Source organism: Homo sapiens, chromosome 17 (genome assembly GCF_000001405.40).
Source record: "Homo sapiens chromosome 17, GRCh38.p14 Primary Assembly".
NCBI classification, from domain to species: Eukaryota; Metazoa; Chordata; class Mammalia; order Primates; family Hominidae; genus Homo; species Homo sapiens.
This window is the reverse complement of record NC_000017.11, coordinates 38,471,838-38,495,166: the sequence shown is the minus strand read 5'-3', so window position 1 is coordinate 38,495,166 and position 23,329 is coordinate 38,471,838. Positions and strand designations below refer to the sequence as shown.

Here is a 23,329-nt window from a genome sequence, read left to right as displayed (position 1 = left end):
ACTTTCCCTCTGTAAGTCTATTTACTTATCTCTAAAATGGGCATGATGTGAGTACCTCCTTCTAGGCCTGAGGAGGATTGAGATGAAATACTGTATGGAAAACGTCGAGTGCAGCACATTGTTAATGTATAATAGATGTCAGCTACTGCTATTCAAAAGTGTGGCTTCCAGAGACAGGCTGACCAGGGGAAGCCTGAGGATCGGCCCAAAGAAGCCAGCCGTTAATGCAGGTTGGAAGGTGCCCAGAAGTACTCTGCAAGCCACAGCGTCTACAGGAAGCGCCCGGGTGGCCACGGCTCTCAAGAGGAATCCACACTAGTTCCTGCCACCCTGTTTCTGCACGTGCTGTTCTTTCCGCCTGGGATGCCCTTTCTCCCTGCTCTGCCTGGCTAAGTTCTCATCATGGTCCTCTAAGGCAGTTCAAGAACTCCATGACTACGACCCCAGCCCTGCACCCAGGGCCGGGGTGGGTCCTTCTGTGGGGCTTCCTTGGGCATAGCCCAGAGCACAAAGAGACGCAGCTCTTACTTTGATAAACATTATTAAAAGAATAAATGAATGAGAAGCATCATTTTTTTAATGGATTTTTGTGTGTGTGTGTGTGTGTCAGGGTCTCACTCTGTCACCCAGGCTGGAGTGCAGTTTCGCAATCTCGGCTCACTGCAGCCTCCCACCTCAGCCCCCCAAGTAGTTGAGACCACAGACACGCACCACCACACCCGCTGGCAATATTCCTTCTGAGCAGGCTCCCATTCACCTCCGTGTTCCCAGCACGGGGATCTGTCTCTGGCGTGGAATAATGACCACGACGAAGAGGATGACAGTCCGTTCTCACACGACACTTAGGACCTGCCAGGCACCGCCGCGAGTGCTTTAGCAGACATTCACAACGATGTGAGGTAAACAGTATTGTCATCTCTGCTTTACAGGTGTGGAGACTGAGGCACAGCAGGTAAGGAACTTGTCCAAGGCCACACAGCACATAGGAGCAGGCTGGCCCCAGAGCCACTGCCGTCAATCCCCCCACCCCAGTGGGCACTTGGCAATGTCTGGAGACATTTTCGATTGTGACAACTAGAGTGATATTCCCAGCATCCAGCAGGTAGAAGCCAGCGATGCTGCTAAATGTCCTGTAACACACAGAACAGCCTCCCACAAGAAAGACTTATCTGGACCCCAGCGCTCACTAGTGCTGAGGCTGAGAAACATTAGGTATCGCTGCCTTTGCTGAGTGAGTCCCTGAGCAAATGCCCTGGGTGATCTTTGTTTGGGTTCCATTTGACTTCGTAAACATAGGTAGGGGCTCCTGGCAACTTGCCCGCTGCAAGATCAGACACCCAGGTTTGCTCTCCTCTCTGCTCTGCCATTATCTTGCTGCGTGGCCCTGGGCAAGTCGCTGTTCCTCTTTACCCCTCAGTTGCCACGCTCTTTCCGACCTGAAGACTGGTCTGGGTACCCCAAGTGACAGCAGCACTGCCCTGGCTATGGAGCCTCCAGGCTAGACAGAGCTGGCACGCTTGGGTGGGCAGGCTTTCAGGGCTTGCAGAGTGGGTGGCTCATTCCCTCGACAATCATCCAGGGCTGGTTACGTTCAGATGCCAAGGAGGCAGAGAAGGGAAGGACACTAGCTCAGTTAGCTCTCGGGAATGAATCTCTGAGTAGAAAAGCCCAGCCTGGCTGGGCGTGATGGCTCACACCTGTAATCCCAGCACTTTGGGAGGCCGAGATGGGAGGATCGCTTGAGTCCAGGAGTTCAAGACTAGCCCTGGCAACATAGTAAGACCTCATCTCTACAAAAGAATACAAAAATTAGCCAGGTGGTGTGGTGGTGGCATCTCTAGTCCCAGCTACTCAGGAGGCTGAGATGGCAGGATCGCCTGAGCCTGGAAGTGGGCCGTATCTGCCCACTGCACTCCAGTGTGGGCGACAGACTGAGACTCTATCAAAAAAAAAACAAAAAAACAAAAAAAAAGCGAAAAGAGAGAGAGAGAAAGAGAAAGAAAACCCAGCCTGACGTAACCTCAATTAGCAATTTACTCAGTCATTTATACTCCACAAACACTGAGTAGCCACTGTGTGCCAGTAGTGTCAGTGCTAAATGAGACAAACTCCACCTTCTCCACCCTGCCCAGAGCAGGGACTCCCCCTTGGGGCTTTGGCCTCCTTCCTCCCTGAAGGCTGCAGTTCCTGACACCTCAGCTGACCTCAGACCTTGGGCTTCCAGGGACTTCTCCAGGAGCACAGGGCCAGACACCCATTCTTCCCTGCTGCTGCCCCCAAAACACACCCTCACGGGAGGTTCCGGGGCTCCCTGGTGCCCTGGAGAGCTAAGCTTTCCCAAGGCCTCATCAGGATCCCCGACGCTGCAGGGCAGCCCTGGCCTCCCAGACAGCTCTGGAGTGGTGTTCCCAGTGTCCGGATGCAGCAGGCTGTGATCTTCCCTCCTGTGGCTCGGAGCCCTGAGCATGCAGTGAAGGAGGGAGATGGGCAAGCAAGGCTGTTAACATGGCTCAGCTGCTCACCACCTCGCCTCCTTACCCTGGCCCCCTCCCTCCGTCCCAAGCCAGCTCAAGGAGGGACCCAGGAGTCTGGCCTTTGGGTTGATAGCAGGAGGAAAGCACAGGCTTTGGTTAGTCAGATCTGGCTTGAAATCTTGGGCTGCCACTTATTAGCTGTGTGACCATGAGCAAGTTGCTTTGCCTCTCTGAGCCTGTTTCCTCCTCTGTAAAATGGGGGTGATAGGGCCCAGCTTTCCTTCCCTAAAGTGTCTAGGGGGCTTGGGACTGAGGCTTCCCTTCCTCTGACCAGCTGCCAGTCTTATTTCCCCTGGCAGGAGGGGCTCTGTTCTCATCCTTTGTGGGCTGTAACAAGAATTGGAAATGGAAAATCTACGATTCATAATGATATCCGTGTGCACACCAGAAGGCGGCAGTGCTGCCTTAGGGTTGGGCTCTCGAAAACCAAGGCCTTCTGCGCCCTCTGCTGGCCACTCTGGGTTCTCCTCCGCCCATGCACAGTAACAAGAACCTACAGGACCAGGGCTGTTGGCATCCAGGAAGCCATGAGAAGGGAGGTGGCCAGCCCAGTACATGCCAAGCACTGGTGCAGGATCCTGCCTCAGGCCAAGGCCCTGTGCCCTGCCCCATCCACCCCTTGTTACCAGGAACATCACCACTATCTCCCCAAAACCTCAGTGGGGCCAGCAGGGAAAGTCACTAGAGCCGGGGCCTCCTGATATCAGGCCAGACCTTGGCCCCCGTCTGCTCGTGTCTGCCAGGACACCTCTCCAGGGGCCAACTTCTGAAGCTGCCCCTTCCGCCCTCCACCAGTAGCACCTTCCCTGCCCTTCCTCCTCTTCTACCTTTCCCAGGCATCTCGGAAGCTCGGGGGCCTCTTGACTCTCCTGCTGGGGACACAACATCCCAGGGCAGCAGGGATTCCAGGATCCATTCCTGCCTTGCCTTGAAATGCAGCCCATGGCTTTGGAGGAGTATATACCACCCTAGCAGCATGCTCTAAAGCTGCCGAGCCCTTCCTGGGGCACACTCCGCCAGGCGGAGCAAGAGCGAGGGGCTCAGAGGAACATGGCCTGGGCCCCAGGGGCTGCCGGGCGCCCCCCGGAACAGGGGCTTACGTGCTGGATCAGTGTCTCCACGATCTTGTAGCGGTCAGGCATGTGGGTCACCATGTCTGTCATGTTGTCCTCAGACGTCCTCACCAGTGTCGGCCCAAAGACCAGGGCCAGGTTCCGGGGTTCCATCTGGGCAGCAGGGAAAGCAGGTCACTGTCAACATCCTGACCTCAGTCCTCCCTCACTCTGGCACCTGAGGCCTCTGTCCCCAACTACATCCTCACCAGTCCCCAGCTTAGAGGGTGGACACCCCCTTGTATGGGCATGGAGATGCTTGATGAGTAGAGCACAGACCAGATTTCAGCCCCTTTCATCCCCAGGCCCAGCAGCCATGAGCAGTGCCCAACCTGCACACCTATACAAGGCAGCCCTGAGTGGTCAGTGCCAGCAGTGGGAGACCCTGCAGTAGGAAACATGTTGGAGGTCCCAGGGGTTATTTTAGGCCTGGGAAATAATCCGATCACTTCCAGGTGCCTGTAATCCCAGCTACTCGGGAGGCTGAGGCAGGAGCATCGCTTGAACCCGGGAGGCGAAGGTTGCAGTAAGCCGAGATCGTGCCAAGGCACTGCAGCCTGAGCGGCAGAGTGAGACTTCGTCTCAAAACAAACAAACAAACAAACAAAACACAAAAAATCCTATCACTCCCCTCATTTTCCCCACTGCAGAACCAGAAGGCATAAGGGGTTTGATGAGGAAAATGCAATGCGAGGGACTTGAGCTAAGTCGGAGGATGGCAATGCATCGGATACGGGGGGCCGGGGTTCCCTGCCTCTGGAAAGCCCTCAGAAACTCAGGAGATGGCTCTCTGGGGGAAAGCACTGACCAGCATGTAGGAGCGGGGTGGGGACGGAGCAGTCATAGGAGGAGGGCGTGCCTAGAGGGGCCTGAGTTACTGGACCTGCTGGAGCTCAGTGCGTGCTGAGGGCCCTCACACAGTAAGTCCGTGCTTGCCTCCCCCAGACTCCATGCGGGACTCCTACCCACCTTGTTTTTCTCAGAGTGGTCAGCGATGGTCTTGAGATGGCCCACAAGGAATTTGAGCGTTTCATAGTAGTGTCCTGGGAGATCCCGGATCTGAGCAGGAGAGAGGAGGGGCATGGGGACAGGCTGTAAGGGCCTGCCCCTGTCCCCCGTCATCACCATGCCCCAAAGATCTCCCACTACCATGCCTCAGGGAGTCTGGAACCTATCCTCTAACCCCCCGTTCTCTTGTATGGACGGGGAAACTGAGGCCCTGAGTGGAGCGGGGCTTCTCCAAGGCCACAGGGGTCGTGGGCAGCACCGGACTCCCTGCCTCCTGGGACAGAGGTGCTCAGGCAGCTGCCCCACCTCGTGTCTGACAGCACCTCTCTCTCCTTACCAGCTTCCGCAGCGTCCTCATTCGCTCCCGCGCGTCCTCAATGCGGTTGGCCTCGATGAAGTCGTTGTATTTGTCTAGAACACAGCGGAGACTCTTTAGAGAGGTGGGGGCAGCGCCTTCCCCTGTTCTCCCGGCCAAGGGCCCTGCTGGGAGGGCTGTGTTTTGAACTCCTCCAGTTCGGGGGCTCCAGCGTGGGCGACAGCCTCTTGTGTATGTGAACACACCCACCACAGCTGCACTCACCACAGCTGCACTCACCACAGCTACACTCGGGTGTGCACCTGACCTGGGGTAGCCCAGCTGTGTTCATTTGGGAGGCAATACCATCTGAGCTGCATGCTGATCCCAGAAAAGGGGTCCCTGCCCCCGTCTCCAGGACATGGACACCAAGGTTCAGCAGGTCAGAAGAGAAGGGCACCTGGAGAGGAGGAGGGGCTTCAGACAGCCTCCACCAAGGATTACCCCAACTCCCTTCAGAACAAGTCCATGGGGACCTTTAAAAAATGGAACATGATAAGCCTATTCTGAAATTCATCTGGATGAGCTAACGCACAAAGACAGCCAGGAATAGTTTTTAAAGAAAGAGTAACGCGGGAGGATCTGCCCTACCAGGGACTGAAACATCCCGAATGGATGGCACAACTGAAGCCGGCTGGCACGGCAGAAAAGGCAGAGCAATGTTAAGGCTAGAAAGGGGGGAAGCGGGCCATATGGATATTTATTATATGATAAAGGCAGCACTTCCAATCGGGGGGAAGGATGGGGGCCTCAACAGATGTCCCCGGGACAAATGGCTACCATCGGGGGCGGGGGGATCATTTCTAGCTCACAATACACAAATGCAATCACACGGCAGAGCCAACTGTGAAAATTATAAAAGCACTGGGGAAAAAGTAAGAAAATATTTTTATAATCCTAAGGCCATCCTAAACATGAGATGCAGAATCCATGAAGAAAAGATGAACAGCTTTGGTCACATTTTAAACAATTGTTTTCGGCCAGGCACAGTGGCTCACATCTGTAATCCCAGCACTTTGGAAGGCTGAGGCGCATCAGCTGATCACTTGAGATCAGGAGTTCAAGACCAGCCTGGCCAATGTGGCAAAACCTCATCTTTACTAAAAATATAAAAATTAACTGGGCATGGTGGTAGGCGCCTGTAATCCCAGCTACTTGGGAGGCTGAGACAGGAGAATGGCTTGAACCCGGGAGGCGGAGGTTGCAGTGAGCCGAGATCGTAACACTGCACTCCAGCCTGGATGACAGGGTGAGACTCAGTCTCAAGAAAATAAATAAAATTAAATAAAAATAAAATTAAAAATTGTTAGGCAGGGCGCGGTGGCTCACGCCTGTAATCCCAGCACTTTGGGAGGCCAAGGAGGGTGAATCACCTGAGGTCAGGAGTTCAAGACCAGCCTGGCCAACGTGGTGAAACCCCGTCTCTACCAAAAATACAAAAATTAGCTGGGCATGATGGTGGGCACCTGTAATCCCAGCTGTTCGGGAGACTGAGGCAGGAGAATCGCTTGAACCCAGGAGGCAGAGGTTGCAGTGAGCCAAGATCACACCATTGCACTCCAGCTTGGGCGACAAGAGTGAAACTCTGTCTCAAAAAACAAAACAAAACAACAACAACAAAAAATTTGTTTTCAGTTTCTATACTGCAAAGTGAAAGGCAAATGGCAGGCCAAAGCAAATATTTGCAAAAACTAACAAAGGGTTAATAGCTGTAAAACACAAAGAGCTTTTCTCCCGCAAATCAACATAAGAAAAAGATAAACAACGCAACAGAAAAATGGGCACATGGTCTGATCGAGCAATTACAGAGAAAATAGAAACAGCCAATATGCTAATGAAAAAAGATTTAATCTCCCTAGTAATGAGGGCAATGAAAATAAAAACAATAATGAGATACCATTTCCCTTATCTGATTAGCAAAAGTTTAAAATGTTAATAATATTTAATGCTGTCTGGGTGAGGTGGCTCAAGCCTAAAATCCCAGCACTTTGAAAGGCCGAGGCGCGATGATCACTTTAGACCAGGAGTTGAAGACCAGTCTGAGCAATGTAGTGAGACCCTGCCTCTACCAAAAAAAATTTTTTTTTAATTAGCTGGGTGTGGTGGCACAAACCTGTAGTCCCAACTACTCAGGAGGCTGAGATGGGAGGATCACTTGAGCCCAGGAGGTTGAGGCTGCAGTGAGCCATGATTGCGCCACTGCATTCCAGTCTGGGCAACAGAGCAAGATTCTGTGTCAAATAATAGTATTTTTATTTTTATTTTATTGTATTATTTATTTATTTATTTATTTTGAGATGGAGTCTTGCTCTGTCACCCAGGCTGAAGTGCAGTGGTGCGATCTTGGCTCACTGCAACCTCTGCCTCCTGGGATCAAGCAATTCTCCTGTCTCGGCCTCCCTAGCAGCTGGGACTACAGGCACCCGCCACCACATCCAGCTAATTTTTGTATTTTTAGTAGAGACGGGGTTTCACCACAGTCAGGCTGGTCTTGAACTCCTGACCTCAGGTGATCCACCCGCCTCAGCCTTCCAAAGTGCTGGGATCACAGGCATAAGCCACCATGCCTGGCCTTCAAGTAACAATAATAGTTATAATATCCAATGCTGTTGGGGATGTGGAGAGACAGACTCCTACATTTTAGTGGGAGTCTAAACCAGGGCCTCTTTCTCAGAGTGCAATTGACACTGGTCTCAGAAAGGTTCACCGGGACTTTGACCCAGCAATTCTACATCTAAGAATCTCCTTAGAGAGCACAGATCCAGGCGTGCAAGGACTTATTCAAGGAAAGCCATTGCAACAGGTTGTGTAATAGCAAACATTTGAAGACAACCTAAATATCCATCAATAGAGGAGTACTTAAAGAAATTGTAGTCTATTCAAACCATGAAATTCTATGTGGCTGATTTAAAAGAAGAATGAGGTAGAGCTCTCTGCACTGACACGAATGAATCTCAGAATTACAACTCTGCTTTTGTTAAAAACAACTCAACCAGCGGTGTGCTGGAGCCCGCTCACACCAGCTCCTGAGAGCGACTGTGTGCCTCTCTTCCCAATTCCATGTTGGTGACATCATGTTGGTGGCTTGAAATAAACCATGGTAGGAGTATTTACGCCATGGAAGCTGGAAAACGCTAGGCATTAGGGCTTTTTTCCCCCAGAGACAGATGTTAAACATCTGCCAGCACACCCCTGAACCCACCCAAATCCAAACCCCACGCAGGCACGTGTGTATCTCTGCCATGCATATAAGAGGGCCAGGAGAGAAACACAACAGATTGTGAATAAGCAGTTCAGCAAACGGCCAAAGCCCGTCGGTGCCCGACGCCTGGGGTGGAATCCTGGCTCTGCCATTTACAACCTGTGCGACCTTGGGCAAGGCATTAAACTTCTCTGAGCCTTGGTTTCCTAATCTGTAGAGGGAAGACAATAGCACCTTCCTCATGGAGTTGCTGTAGGGAGTTGTGCTTGGCACACTCTAATGCTCAGAAAGTGTTAGCCACAACCTCCCGTGAAAGGGAGCAGGACATTCACAGGGTCCTGTGCTGTTTTCTTCATTCACATCTGTACAATCTATGTTTTTTAAATAAGCTTTTGTGTTAAAAAAAAAAAAAAAAAAAAGCCAGCGTGGTGGCTCATGCCTGTAATCCCAGCATTTTGTGAGGCTGGGGCAGGCAGGAGGATTGATTGAGCCCAGGAGTGCAACACCAGTCTGAGCAACATAGTGAGAAACTCCCCCCATCTCTGAAAAAAAACTTTTAAATTAGCTGGGTGTGGTGGTGTTCACCTGCTGTCTCAGCTACTCAGGAGGCTGAGGTGGGAGGATCGCTTGAGCCCAGTAGCTTGAGGCTGCAATGAGCCGTGATTGCGCCACTGCACTCCAGCCTGGGCAACAGAGCAAGACTGTCTCAAAAAAAAAAAAAAAGAGTAAAACCAACAAACCAAATGCAAAAGTAGTGGTCAGGGTGAGGCACGGACTGGTGTCCCCTCCCCGCCCCACTTCCACCTCCTACTCACCATCAGTGAAAAGAGGCTCGGGCAGCTTTCGGAAGAAGGACTTGAGCAGGCTGCTGATCACATTGAGGTCTTGCCAGCGCTGGGGGAGGGGTCAGATGTCAGGCACAGGCAGGCCCAGCCCGATGCCCATGCCTCCACGATCATTCACCCCAGAGCCCAATCAAGCCCACCAGGCCCTCCCTGGGACCTACTTAGACCAAGCTCTCTACTCATCAGGATGGTGGCAGCAGAACTGAGTCCCCAGAGAGGTCCTGTGCCCACACTCACACTTGGCCCCAGCCCCTCCCTGCTCCTGCCAGTGCGTGGGCTCCAACACCTCCCCATGCACAGAAAGTCCCAGGCACTGTGGGGAGACAGTGAGTGGCAGCTGCTGCCTCCACTGGGCACAGTTTAAGCATCCGTGACACAGCAGTCATTCGTGCCGGCTCCTTCCTGTCTCAGGTCCTCTGCATGTGCTGGTTTCCTCAACCAGAACTTTCCTCCCCGCCTCCACACAACTGGCTCCTCATCCCCGCCTAAAAGTCGCTCTTCAAAGAGGCCTTCTCTGACCCTCATAGCTAAAGCAGCCACCTTCACCACTGCCCTGTCACCTGCACCCCAGCCCTGACTTTGTTTCCTTCCTGGCGCTTAACCCAATTTGTCATTATTTTCTGCTTTTGTTTCCGTGTTCATGCCTGTCTCCCTGCAGGACTGTAAGCTCCAGGAGGAGACAGGATCCCGTCTGTCTCATTTCCCACTGTGCTCCTATCACCTAGCAAGGACAGTTAACCTGGTACTTACATGGCCCTAAATCAGTAGTTCTAACAGAAGGAGGCAATTTTGTCCCCCAAACTCCCACTCCACCCACAGAGGACATTTGACAATGTCTGGAGCCATTTTGATTTTCCCAACTGGGAGGTGCCACTTGCATCTAGTGGATCGAGGCCAGGGATGATGTCAAATTCCCTCCAGTGCACAGGACAACCCCACACAACAAATAATTGTTCTTCCCAAAATGTCCACTGAGATTGAGAAACCCTACTCTAAAATAAATGGTTGTCGAGTACAAGAACTAACGGCCGGGTCGTTGTCCCTTCTGTCCTCCAGGGGGCACCATCACCCCACATTGCAACCAAGTTGGGCACAGCCGCCTCGCTGGGAATGGCTCAGAATAACTCAGGCCCAGAAAGCGACCTAATACCCCCAACAAAGAGACACAGTACAGCAGTACACACACTCATTACAATGGATCCACAGCTTAATGCCAGACAATCCCATAAACAATACACTCCCCACAGGCTCACCAGGGGTTAGATTCATCCCCCACTACACTTACTCCCAGCACGACCCACAACAAATGACACAATGATATCCAAGACAAAACAACACACCCAATATACCTCGTATGCCCCCAGCTGGCCCTGGCTTGGACCAGCTGCCTGCCAGCATGGCCCCCTCATCTCACACACACCCAGTGCGGCTCCTGCCCACCCGACTCCGTTACCTCCTGGCCCTCAGGTGTGAGCTCCTCTCATCTCCCAGCTGCCAAACCCAATGCCCTGGCCAGTGCTTCCTGGTTCCTCCAGAGTGAAGTGTCTGCCCTCACCCCAGCCTCACTGGCGGCCCTCTCCTTCTGTCCCACTCAGAGCGTGGCCCCTGCTGTTCTGCGGCCCACCCTTGGTCATCCCATGCCTCAGCTGCAGCAGGACCCATGCCACTCTCTAGTCCAGGCTCAATATAGCGCCTGTTTATGCCCTCACCCCATGCAAGGGACTTTCCACACCCCAAATCCAATGGAGCCACTCCCTGAGACGGCCCCTCCCTTCCGCCTCTCCTCACGCTGCCCCACTCCCTGGTTTCTGCCAAGGGAAGATACCACCAGCCCCAGCTCAAACATGCGGCTCTTCCTCGCCCCTCCTTCCTCCCTCTCATGCAGACAACTCTTAGGGTTGCTCCCATCCTCCCCCTTCCCCTGAGACCACCAAGTCCTCCCGACACTTAGCGCTTCCATAGATCAGTGACTTCTCCCCAGACCCCTGCCCTCCGCATTCGTATCCAATGGACATGAGCAGGAGCATTACTGTTTCTTGAACTTTGTTCTCACGATGCCTCCCCAGCTTAAGAACCATCAGAAGCTCCCTACTGTCCATCAGATCAAGGTCGAAGTCTTCAGTGAAGCCATCAAATGCCTTCTCTGTCCCCCTGGGGCCTCACCCTCCCCACCTCCAAGCCCAGGAGGTAGATCCACTCTCTGTCCTAACCCTCAAGCCCTCCCCGGCCCTTGCTGGGGTTTTGGAAAATGCCATCGTCTCACACCCCGAAAGGCTTCCCGTCCACCTGCCCCCTCCTATTCATTCCTCCAATACTCAAACCCTCCAGCCACCACCTGCTCCAGCCTGAGCACCCTCTCCTTCCTCATCACAGTGTGGTCCCTGATGAGAGATCATCTTTTTCTCTTGTCCACAATTTCACACACACTTGTCTCAGCTCCTCATTCTCCAAGGACAGGAAGACTTGTGTATTCCATGAGCCTTCACGTGTGTGATTCGTGGGACATCACTGCCCACGTTCACGGTTTTCCAAAATATCTTTTTTATCAGAGCCCCTTTGGGCAAATAAAATTGTACATGAAAACCCAGTACAACAGACAGGGCAAAGCAGGGTTGCTCTAGCAAGGACAGGGGGTCCTGACCTGCCCCTGGCCTCCCAAGGCCCCTCTGGGGAACCCTAGGACTCTGGGGAACACCCTTTGAGAATCGCCGGCCTTGCTGGAAACACTTAAGTGTGATTGCAGATCCCTTCACAGGCTGGTCTCATCTCGCCTGATCAGCCACTTCTCTTTCCATGTTGCAGCCACCCAAATTGCTGGCCATTCTAGAAAACATCATATATTCCCCTTTTTCTAAGCCGGCGGTTTGTAAACCATGGTCTGTAGGCAATATCTAGCCACAGCCTGCTTTTGGATGGCCCTTGAGCTAAGTATGGTTTTTACGTTGTTAAAGGATTAGGAAGAGAAGGAGGAGGAAGAGAAGGGGGGAACGCAACAGAGCAAACTACAGCAGAAAATATTTACCCTCTGCCTTCTACAGAGAAAGCTGGTTGACTCCTGGCACACTTTCCGCGTCTACACCATTGAGCAGGCCATTCTGCTGCCTGGAATGCCCTCACCTGGCTTTCACCGGCCTTTGGTGAACTCTACTCATCCTAAACACTCGGACAAAACTGCCATCTGTGAGCCTCTGCCTCAGAGCTCCCCAGGCCATGACTGCATTTACTTGGTCAGCTTCAGCCTGGGGTGATGCCCATCCCCGGGCTGGCCAGCGGGGGCAGGTCCCATCTTGCCCATCTTGGTGTTCTGGACCAATGCCGGGCATGTCATAGGGCACAATGCATGCAACACAATAGACCACAGAACTCTCCAAGCGGAGCACCACCCACACACCATCTCAGCCCCTCTTCCACAGACCCCCCAGCTTCACCCACCTCATCCTGCAGGTTGATGTCACCAGGCCCGCGGTTGAGCTGCTCCTGTAGGCTGGACACCACTGCATTGTTGCCGGGCACTCGGTAAATGCCTGTGGACTCCAGCCCTCGTGCCTCCACAATGCGACAGCATGCAGCCACGATTAAGGGGACGCGCTGGGGACACATGGGAGGGGTGTTAGGGGGGACAGGGGCCAGAGGAGCTGGGGAGGCCAAGAAGGGGACAATGCAAGGCCCAGAGCTGCTGCCAGGAACCCTTGGGGGGAACAAAAGGCCCTTGCTGCCTCCAGTCTGGGAGCTAAAAATGACACCAAAGCCTCGCCATGGTCTGAGAAGGAGCCGGGCTCAGCCTCAGCCCTGCTGCTCCCTCCCTGGGAGGCCCGGGGCAGGCGGGGGCCTTCCCCTCTCTGGGCTGTTTTCCCAGCTGTGTTTGTACAATGAGGTGGAGAGCTGGTTCCATGTCCCTTGCTGCTCTGACCCTCTGTGCCTCGGTCTCCCCCTGCTGGGCCTGCTCTGGCGTGTGGCAGAGACTCACCTGGTTCTCCGTGGCTGGCTGGCACTCCTCCAGCCTGACCCCAAACGCCCTCGGAGCGGCCTTCTTATTTTTCTTGATGATGTTGATGCCCCAGGGGGTTTTGGGGGCTGCAGCACTGTCATCTGAAGTGGGGGAGACAGAGCCAGAGTGAGCTGGGGTATCCAGGAGGGTCACACACATTCACTGCCACATTCACACATTTGGACGTATGGGGATTCCATCAGAGAAGAAACCAGATGCCCAGGGCTGATGGGACATTGTATGGCAAGAGAGAAGGCCTGAAGGGGAGGATGCTTACCCCAAAGGAGAGGCCCAGAGCAATGCAAGGACTTCCGTGTGGCTCGTGGGCCAAAACTACAAGGCGGAAGCCATAGAACTTTGTTTCTTTAGAGATAGAGTCTCTGTCGCTCAGGCTGTAGTGCAGTGGTATGATCATAGCTCAATGCAGCCTCAAATTCCTGGGCTCAAGCAATCTTCCCTCCCCAGCCTCCCGAGTGGCTGGGACTATAAGCTCATACCACCACACCTGGCTAATTAAAAAAAATTTTTTTTGCCAAGCACAGTGGCTTATGCTTGTAATCCCAGCACTTTGGGAAGCTGAGGCCGGCAGGACCACATGAGGCCAGGAGTTCGAGACCAGCTGGCCAACATGGCAAAACCCTGTCTCTACTAAACATACAAAAATTAGCCGGGCGTGGGCCGGGCGCGGTGGCTTACGCCTGTAATCCCAGCACTATGGGAGGCCGAGGCGGGCGGATCACGAGGTCAGGAGATCGAGACCATCCTGGCTAACACGGTGAAACCCTGTCTCTGCTAAAAATACAAAAAAATTAGCCAGGCGTGGTGGTGGGCGCCTGTAGTCCCAGCTACTCGGGAGGCTGAGGCAGGAGAATGGCGTGAACCCAGGAGGCGGAGCTTGCAGTGAGCCGACATCACACCACTGCACTCCAGCCTGGGCAACAGAGCGAGACTCCGTCTCAAAAAAAAATAAAAAAAAAAAATTAGCCGGGCGTGGTGGCACATGCCTGTAATCCCAGTTACTAGCGGGGCTGAGGCACAAGAATCGCTTGAACCTAAGAGGTGGAGGTTGCAATGAGCTGAGATCACTCCAGCCTGAGTGACAGAATGAGACTCTGTCTCTAAATAAATAAATAATATATAAAAAAAATATTTTGTAGGGATAGGACCTTTCTATGTTACCCAGGCTGGTCTCAAACTCCTGGCCTCAAGCAATCCTCCAGCCTCAGCCTCCCAAAATGATGCTGGGATTATAGGTGTCAGCCACCATGTCTGCTGGCCCAAGGGAACAACTTTCTTTCTTTTTTTTTTTTTTTTTTTTTGAGACAGGGTCTCACTCTGTCACCCAGGCTGGAGTGCAGTGGTGTGATCTCGGCTCACTGCAACCTCCACCTCCCAGGCTCAAGTGATTCTCGTGTCTCAGCCTCCCAAGTAGTTGGGATTACAGGCGCACACCACCACGCCCGGGTACTTTTATTGTATTTTTTTTTTTGAGATGGAGTCTCGCTCTGTCACCCAGGCTAGAGTGCAGTGGCGCGATCTTGGCTCAATGCAAGCTCCGCCTCCCAGGTTCATGCCATTCTCCTGCCTCAGCCTCCTGAGTAGCTGGGACTACAGGTGCCTGCCACCACACCCGGCTAATTTTTTGTATTTTTTAGTAGAGACGGGGTTTCACCGTGTTAGCCAGGATGGTCTCGATCTCCTGACCTCGTGATCCGCCCACCTCGGCCTCCCAAAGTGCTGGGATTACAGGCGTGAGCCATCGCGCCCGGCCTTTTGTATTTTTAGTAGAGTTGGGGTTTCACCATGTTGGTCAGGCTGGTCTTGAACTCCTGACCTCAGGTGATCTGCCCTGCCTTGGCCTCCCAAAGTGCTGGGATTACACGTGTGAGCCACCTTGCCCAGCCAGGTAAGAACTTTCTAACAGCCAAAGGTGAGTGAAATGGGAAAGGTTGCTCTTGGAAAGGGTGGGCCTCTCATCCCTGCAGAGACACCAGCAAAGATTAGAGGACCACCCAGCAGGGATGTCAGGGACGGGAATCAGGCTCCAGGCCCTTCCACCCCGAGACCCTGAGAGCCCCTAGACCCTCACAGGCATGCACACGCAGACAGACATACCGGTAGCCCTGGCACACAGTCAGGCACACATGAGCAGACACAGCCCAACACACACACGCGTGCCCTCCCCTCCCCATGCCCCCTGCCCCCACACACCACCCTGTCTCAGTGGCCACCTTCCTACCCTTGCTCCCTGCGGGCAGGTCCTGAGTCCTGAGGCCACGTGCCGCACTCTGCTTGAGGAACTCAGACTTGAGGCCCCCCAGGCCGCGAGAGCCTTTGGGGGAGGAATCAGCTTTGGGCCCAGAGCTATGGCTGTGTAGGAAAAAGGGGGAGAGGAGAGGTCTTCATTTGGGGTGGCCAAGCAGGCCACCCACCCTGGCCTCCCGCCCCTCGGGACCTCCCCTCCACCCTGAGGCAATGCCTCCATGCCTAACTGCAGCCTGGAGACCCTGGATACCCCTTCCCCCAGCAGAGGGCAGCCCTGGAGGTGGGCCAGGAAGACATCCTTTGCCTTCAGCCCCCTACCACCCCCACAGAGGAGACTGCTCCACGAGGGCTGGGCCTCACCTCACTTTGCGATAATCGTTAAGCTTCTTGCTGATCAGAGCTTGGTTGGCACAGCCGGGGTCCTGAAGCAGGAGAGGAGAGAGCGGATCATGTCAGTGCCCACAGCCAGCCCACCCCAGGGCTCATCCCTAGCCCTGCTTCCCCTCTTGTCCACCTGCCAGGTGGACAGCCCAGACCCTGGAGTGAGAAAGACCAGGCCTGGACTCCCCAGCACCCTCTCACCAGCTGAGGCCTTGGGGAAGCCTCTTAGCCTCTCTGAGCCTCAGTCTCCTCGGTAATAAACATGGGGGGCTAACAGGGAAGGCTCAGGGCCGGGTGCAGAATCATGCAGCACTCGCCACCGTCCTGGCAGACACTGAGCAGGCATGGAGGAGGTGCCCCAGGAGGGACTGCTACTGCCATAGTGATGGTGACTTGGGATCCCCTGACTAAGCCTTGTTGGGGACAGCCAAGAGAGGCCCCCAGAGGAGGAGGCCCAAATTCCAGGTGCCTTCCTCCCTGCAGTGGGGAAAGCTGTTCCCGGGAGAGCAGAGCCTGGTCAGTAAGAGGATGTGACCTCAGCAAGAGGCCATGCACTAGCACCCCCTCCCACGGCCACAGCAGGCCCAGGCCCACTGCCCTCTTGGCAGAGACCCCAGGCCTGGGACGCCCACATGACTTTGTGTGGGTGTCTCAAGGCACTTCTGTGTAGGTTCCTGGCCAAAGAAGTAAACAGGGAGGAATCCCTACCTAGGCCCCTGGAGTGTAGCTATGGCTGACCACAATGGGCACCATTAAAAAAAATTCTTCGGCTGGGCACAGTAGCTCACACCTGTAATCCCAGCACTTTGGGAGGCTGAGGCGGGAGGATCACGAGGTCAGGAGATCAAGACCATCCTGGCTAACACAGTGAAACCCCATCTCTACTAAAAAAAAATTAGCCGGGCATGGTGGCATGCGCCTATAGTCCCAGCTACTCGGGAGGCTAAGGCAGGAGAATCACTTGAACCTGGGAGGCGGAGGTTGCAGTGAGCTGAGATCGCGCCACTGCACTCCAGCCTGGGCAACAGAGCGAGACTCTGCCTCAAAAAAAAAAAAAAATTATCCCAAAATCCCTGCCGAGGCCCTTGGCTCCACCCCTGCCCACCTGTGGCCAAAGGCCAAGCCTCTCGGCCTCCTCACAAGGTCAATGTGCTCATCCTTCTGCAGACAGGCCAGCCCAGTGCAGTTCTGGTGCGGGGACACTCATGCCCTAACACACTCCATAGGAGGCCCCTGCCTTCCTCGCCTGCTGAGAAAAGCTGAGACTGGCCTGGAGCTGACCACTCCACACCGGAGCCTGCTCAAGGCGATCCTAACACAGTCACAATCATCCCTGTCATCATTAGGGTCAGGATGGTGACTGCCGGTCCCCGCACCTGAGGACGCCAGGTCCCCCGTGAGCCCTGCCTGTGCACCCTCCTCACCCCGAAACCTTGGGGGACACAATCACGAGGTGCACTCCTGTCAGCCCCCCTTTCTAGCAGAGGGAAGTGAGGCTCAGAGCGGGCATCCCAGGTCCACAGCCGGTGAGAGGCCACCCCGCCCGCCCTCTGTGGCTGCCGGGCTGGCCGGGCCCTCACCTCGCCCTCGGCCCTGCTGTTCTCCCGGATCGCTCTGATCCAGCCCAGCATGTCATCCCGGTCCTCAGCCTGAAAGAGATATTCACAGAAGTCAGCGGTGGTCAGCCGGAACACGTGCCTCCTCTTGGTCTCGCTGTAGGAGATGTCCACGAGGCAGGAGCCGATGCAGACGGGCGCCGCCTCGTCCTCACCTGCGCCGGCCGCCGCAGCCCCCGCCGCCGCCGGCCCGGGCTCCCGCCGCTCCTTGCTCAGCGAGAGCGAGCGCGCCCGCAGCGCGGCGTACACCCGCTTCCACTGGCGCAGGCCGCTGCCCGCTTTCTGCAGGGAGACACGGGGTTGGGGGAGACAGGAATGGTGAGAGGCCAGTTTTGCCCACTGCTCTCAGAGTAGCAGACAGAGGACAGCCAGGGGATGGACCCCACGCTGCCTACCAGGAGCCCCCTGCTCCACCCGGCTAGACCTGGGCAGCCTCCTGCCCACAGCCCACCAATGCCTTCTCAGCCCCTTGCCTGCCTAGACACCCCTACCCATCATCCTAAAGCCCCCCAGCAGACCCCAACCCTCTCCCCCTCTAAACACCAGCATCAACACTCACCGAGCGGTGGCAATGCTCAGACACCCAGCATGGCCCTCCATACATGAAATCCTGGGGATGCCATTCCCAGCCCACGCCCCTCCCCAGGCTGCCCCTCATCCCAGCAAACCTGCTCAGAAGCCGTCCGCACTCTTAGAGGGTTGTTCTCCCCACTTTCCTGCCGCCCACCCAAGACTCCACTTGCCCAGAAGCTCCTTCTCAGGGACACCCAGAACCGCCATGTGGCCAAAGCCAGTGGCTGCTTCTCCCCAACTTGCCTTAACCCCTCAGCGGCATCTGACACAGCCAGCCCCTCCTTCCCTCTCCAGACCCTATCTCGGCACCTGAGACCCCACGTTCCCAGCTTTCTTCCTAATGCCACTGGCTCCTTCCTAGTCTTCTCTACTTGCCCTCCCCCACCCTCTACACCTGTAGTTAAACAGCCAGGAGACTAGTCCCCACGGGACATTTGTGTGGAGGGAGCTGGAGGGTGTGCTATGGCATCTGAGGGATGCGGCTAAACATTGCACAATGCACAGGACAGCCTCCCCCAACAAGGAATTATCTGGCCCAAAATGTCAGCAGAGCTGAGGGTAAGAGACCCCGCCCTAAAGGAGGCGGAGCTCCAGAACTTTGTCCTGACTCTCCTCTCCTCTCCTCTCCCTGCACACCTCCCTCAAGGATGTCACCTCTGCCGTGCCTTTAAACTAGGTCCATCTGCTGATGGCCATTCCCAAGCCCAGCGTCTCTCCCAGCCACAGCCCGGCACCCCCACCCTGCTCAGTGGCTTCATTTGCAGGTCCCATGGGCACTTTGCACAATACTTGCCAGGCCATGTGATTTCTTACCATCAAACCCCTTCTCCACTCTCCACCCCCATCTTTTCCAGCCCAGTCAATCCATCCAGTTGCCCAGAAACCTGGGAGCTGCCCTTGACTCCTCCCTTTTCCTCGCCCTTGACATCCCATCCATCAGGAAGTCACAACTATTCTGCCTCCAAAACATCCCGTCTCTGTCTTTCCTGCCACCACCCGGTCCACGCCATCAACGCCTCTTGCTTAGAGGATGCACAGACCTTCCCAGTCTCTACTCTCGCTCCTGCAACCATTCTCCAGCAGCAGCTGCAGCGATCATGTTAGAATGAAAAGGAGATCACATCTCTCCCCTGCTCAGCATCCTCTCAAGGGATCCCATCGCCCTCAGAATCAAATCTAAGGTCTCCTGTGGTCTGTCCCTGCCTTTCTCCAAATTCATCTTCACACCTTTCTCACTATGTCAAGCCAGGGGGCCCTTGCAGGTGAGCGAGCCAAGCCTTTCCTTTCTCAGGGCCTCTCCGCTTGCTGTTCCTTTTGCCTAAGCCCCCTCCCTCACTTCTATATGTGGCTGCTTCCTTCTTCCCCTTCAGATCTGAGCTCCAGCATCACCAACGTCACCTCCTCAGTGAGGCCTTCTCTGGCCATATTTTTCCCTCAATGCAGCTCCCGCTTCTGATCAGCTTGATCCTTTCCAAGAACTTACTGCAGCCTCAGGCTGTCCTGGGGACAGGGAGCTTGTCCGTCCTCTCATTTCCATATCCCAGGGCCTACAGCAGCAGCATGCAAGGGCTCATCAATATTTGTTGAATAAATGAATTAATGATCCTTGGAGCACCCTGAGGGCAGGAGCTCCATCTCCCATCAGACCAAGAGCTCCTCTCTGCTGGCTGGTGGCTCCACATCCAGCACAGGCCTCAGCTCTCCGAACAAACCAGACAAAGAGACCCCGTGGCTGGCAGATGGGCACAGCCCACATCTGGCCTCCCATCGTGTGGATCCTGAGCTGTGAGCCCTGCTCATCACAGAACTGCTGGATGGGGACAGGGACATTCAGAGCAGGAGACAGCAGAGCCCTCCAGGGAGAATTTTAATGTGACAGTGAGGTGGTGACAAGGGCACCTCTCTGAGGCTAAACCAGAGGCATAACCTAGGACAAGTCAACCGCACTCCCAGGCCTCAGTGTCTCCGGCTGGTAAATGAGTGAGAGAGTTGGTCACCAAGGCTGCATGCAGCTCCCATGCTGGGGCTGAGGCTGCGGGGACAAGTCACTGTCCCTTTCCCTCCTCTGCCTGACAGTCCGTGTCTCTGAAAGAGGCTGGGGCTGGGAGGGAGCACAGAGAGGGTGCCCACGGCCTGGGTGGACCAAGGGCCTGAGGCTGACTTGAAGACTCTCCTCTAACGTCCAGGCCACGGCACCAAGAGAACAAGTGATATCGGGTTTTGGCCAGCAAGGGAGTGGAGGCCTGGTCCTCCAGAACTGGCCAGTGAGCAGGAAGGGGACAGCTCCTGTCCCTGAACTGGGCTCAGGGCCCCCAGGAGCTGAGGGTCAGGCTCCCCGGCAGGGGGAGCCAGCCACCCTCACAAGGACCCTTCATGTGGCTCACACGTTAGACTGGAAGGGCTGGCCCACACGTGGCTCTCCTCGCACAGTGCACATGGCTGGTCCCTCCTTGCCTCATGGCTCCCACCCCATGGGTCACTGCCAACTTGCTGGCTCTTTTTGGTCTCTGTCAGCCTCCCCGGCCCCCCCACTTCTCTCAAGGCTCAGCCGGGTCTCTTGCCTTCTTCCTTCAAGCCCCTGCACAGAGGCACAGGTAACTCGTCGGTGCTGACAGACAAAGGCCATCCCCAGGTGGGCCTCCCTCTAGTGCCACGCCCTCAGAGCCTCTGTCCCCAGGACACCTCCACTGGGGTCTGTCCCAGGGCCCTCAGACTCACATAGCCCCAGTGGAGCCACTTGGCTTCCTCTCCCCAAACCTGTTCCTCCAGTATGCCATGGCCCAGGGAGGGTCCCACCACCCACCACCCTCCCTCAGCCCAAGCCAGGAATCCAGGAACCTTATCGCCTCCTCCTCCTTCCATACCTCCCAGCAGCCGGCAAGCCCTGGCCCTCCTTCCCCTGGAATCTCTCTCTAAAGTGTCTGCTCCACCCGGCCTCACACCACTGCCTTGGGTCAGGGCCCCCAGCCTCACTCACCTGGACAAGGGCAATGGGATTGGCTCCTCCTGTCACAGACATAACCCCAGTCTCCTGCCATCCCCAGCCCACATTTAAAACCCTGGACAGAGCTGGGCACGGTGGCTCACGCCTGTAATCCAAGCACTTTGGGAGGCCAAGGCAGGCAGCTCACTTGAGGTCAGGAGTTCAAGACCAGCCTGGCCAACATAGTGAAACCCAGTCTCTACTAAAACTACAAAAATTAGCTGGGTGTGGTAGCAGGCGCCTGTAGTCCTAGCTACTCAGGAGGCTGAGGCTCAAGAATTGCTTGAACCTGGGGGGCGGAGGTTGCAGTGAGCTGAGATCGTACCACTGTACTCCAGCCTGGGCAACAGAGTGAAACTCCGTCTCAAAAATAGATAAAATAAAATAAAATAATAAAACCCTGGACAGGCTCTTCCTGGGTATCAAGGCCCCACACTCTGGGCAGGCACCCAATTCCCCAGCTCATCTTCCACCTCTCGCCCTGGCTCCCAGCACCCCTCTCCCCAGGACCCTCTAAGGAGACATCTTCCCTGTCAGGCCCCTCCACTGTCTCCCAGTTTTGTGGCTTCTCACCCTTTCGTGTCTCAGCCTCTGGATACCTCCCTACCCACGCCCACCCGCCCCCGCACCCCGGCATCACGGCAGTCTGTGCACTGGGAACCATGACGCCACATGCGTTCTCTCTGCTCAACAGGAGCGACAGGAGCCCCAGGAGGGCAGGGCTGCCCTGGCTCCCTTACCACTAACTCCCCAGAACCTCCACGGAGGCTCCCGAGCAGGGCGGCCTTAGTCATTCTCCACAGAGGAGCGCCAGTCCCGCCTCGACTTCACCCTCACTTAATCCACAGCAGCCCTTGGGGTAGGATAACATTGTTCCCATCGTACAGATCAGAAAGTGAGGCTCAGGGAAGGTAAGTGGGGTGCCCAAAGCCACGTGCTTGATATGTGGCCGGATAGGAACTCAAAGTCTGTCTGCTTCAAAGCTTATGTTCTTTCCAGGGACCCCCAAGACCCCAGAAGGCAGGGTAGAAAATTCAAATAGCAGTAAGCGGGCTGGGCACGGTGGCTCACGCCTGTAATCCCAGCACTTTGGGAGGCCGAGGCAGACACATAATTTGAGGTCAGGAGTTCGAGACCAGCCTGACCAACATGGTGAAACTCCGTCTCTACTAAAAAAATACAAAAAAAAAAAAAAAAAAAATTAGCCGGGTTTGGTGGTGAGTGCCTGTAGTCCCAGCTACCCAGGAGGCTGAGGCTGGAGAATTGCTTGAACCCAGGAGGTGGAGGTTGTAGTGAGCCGAGATCGCGCCACTGCACTCCAGCCTGGGCAACAGAGCGAGACTCCGTCTCAAAAAAAGAAAACAAATAGCAGTAAGCAGAAGTACAGCAGCTTCAAGTGCCGGGCACTGGGTAAACCCTTTACTTAGATCATCTCATTTAATCCTTAGCAATAGGCTTATGAGCTAGGGATTACTGTTAGCTCCATTTACAGGAGAGGACACTGAGTCATGGCCAGGTGAGTCACCCAGGCTCTCAGAGCAATGGGTGATGCAGTCAAGAGTCAAACCCGGGTTCATCCTAATCGCCAGGAGGGAAGGCAGTGGTCTCTCCTCCCACTTCTCCAGCCCACAGCGCAGCCTGGGGCCAGGATTTGCACCCCATGGATCCAGGGGCCCTGCCCTTCTCCTCTCAGAGTCCTGCTGGTTCCCTCCCAGGCCCTCCCCAACTACTCCCCGAAGCCCCCTTCGCCTCTCATCTGGATCTCCACGGTGGCTCCTAATTGGTCTTCTTGCCTCCAGCATGGCCCCTCCCTAACTCACTCCCAGGGAGCCAAATGAATATTTTAAAGCTGTAACTCCCTTGGCAAGAGCCCCCGAGAGCTTTTGGTTGCCCTTAGGATGAACACTAAGCCCTTTGCTGGCTTGCCTGCGTCTTCTTGGGCCTTAGCTCTCCTACGGAAATCACCCCGGCCTTGCTCCTTGTTTTCCATGAGCCCCAGCGGCCATCTTCAGGATGGCCTGTCAAGCCAGGGCCCGTGTGGGATGGTTTTGCCAGAATATTCCAAGCACGACTCGATCAGATCCATCCCACAGCAAAATCCACCTCTCTTGTTAACTTCTTTTACATAAGTTCTTTAAATCCCCCTGCCAGGAAGTTCTTCCTAGCATCTAACCTCCATCCTTCATGCAACAACCTACACTGGTTCTCTCTGGCTCCAGAGGCTGTCAGGGTAGGCCTAGGAGAGGCTGGAGGGTTCTGCTGGAGCCAGCTTCCACCTCATTCCTCCACCCATCTTACCTTCCCCTTCTTGGTGAGAATCTGCTTATAATACAACCAGCCTTCTCTCCTGATATCGCTGAAGGTCGCATCTGAGAGGTCAGAGGTTGAGTGTCGCTTAGAAGGAGCGTCAGCATCTTCAGAGGTGCCCCAGCTATCCAAGGACTGCAGGGAGACAACAGAGGACAAT

The 23,329-nt window shown here is 55.1% G+C and overlaps 1 protein-coding gene across 11 annotated transcripts in view, besides 4 other annotated features; it reads right to left on the bottom strand.

Annotated features, from left to right (window-relative positions):
• Nucleotides 1-23,329, bottom strand: part of ARHGAP23 (Rho GTPase activating protein 23) — a 93,111-nt gene that overhangs the window by 17,219 nt on the left and 52,563 nt on the right. For 8 of the 11 annotated variants that reach the window (XM_006721991.2, NM_001199417.2, XM_006721993.4 and 5 more), the window contains 10 exons: nt 23,161-23,304; nt 17,271-17,588; nt 15,670-15,731; nt 15,284-15,414; nt 13,024-13,145; nt 12,489-12,644; nt 9,027-9,105; nt 4,992-5,065; nt 4,616-4,705; nt 3,635-3,760 (listed from right to left, as the gene is read on the bottom strand). In XM_006721991.2, coding sequence (XP_006722054.1) covers nt 3,635-3,760; nt 4,616-4,705; nt 4,992-5,065; nt 9,027-9,105; nt 12,489-12,644; nt 13,024-13,145; nt 15,284-15,414; nt 15,670-15,731; nt 17,271-17,588; nt 23,161-23,304 — 1,302 coding nt within the window. Of the gene's footprint in view, nt 1-3,634; nt 3,761-4,615; nt 4,706-4,991; nt 5,066-9,026; nt 9,106-12,488; nt 12,645-13,023; nt 13,146-15,283; nt 15,415-15,669; nt 15,732-17,270; nt 17,589-23,160; nt 23,305-23,329 lie in introns of those variants that run through there. The other 3 variants (XM_006721992.4, XM_047436477.1, XR_429909.4) reach the window with 2 other exon arrangements.
• Nucleotides 919-1,418: an enhancer, noted in NCBI's record as "H3K27ac hESC enhancer chr17:36649991-36650490 (GRCh37/hg19 assembly coordinates)". NCBI's record gives its function as "activates a minimal SCP1, AML or CMV promoter by ChIP-STARR-seq in naive and primed H9 embryonic stem cells {active_cell/tissue: H9 hESC(naive and primed)}" and the evidence as "EXISTENCE:reporter gene assay evidence [ECO:0000049][PMID:30033119]".
• Nucleotides 1,419-1,920: an enhancer, noted in NCBI's record as "H3K27ac hESC enhancer chr17:36649489-36649990 (GRCh37/hg19 assembly coordinates)". NCBI's record gives its function as "activates a minimal SCP1, AML or CMV promoter by ChIP-STARR-seq in primed H9 embryonic stem cells {active_cell/tissue: H9 hESC(primed)}" and the evidence as "EXISTENCE:reporter gene assay evidence [ECO:0000049][PMID:30033119]".
• Nucleotides 10,156-10,677: an enhancer, noted in NCBI's record as "H3K27ac-H3K4me1 hESC enhancer chr17:36640731-36641252 (GRCh37/hg19 assembly coordinates)". NCBI's record gives its function as "activates a minimal SCP1, AML or CMV promoter by ChIP-STARR-seq in naive H9 embryonic stem cells {active_cell/tissue: H9 hESC(naive)}" and the evidence as "EXISTENCE:reporter gene assay evidence [ECO:0000049][PMID:30033119]".
• Nucleotides 22,534-23,034: an enhancer, noted in NCBI's record as "H3K4me1 hESC enhancer chr17:36628374-36628874 (GRCh37/hg19 assembly coordinates)". NCBI's record gives its function as "activates a minimal SCP1, AML or CMV promoter by ChIP-STARR-seq in naive H9 embryonic stem cells {active_cell/tissue: H9 hESC(naive)}" and the evidence as "EXISTENCE:reporter gene assay evidence [ECO:0000049][PMID:30033119]".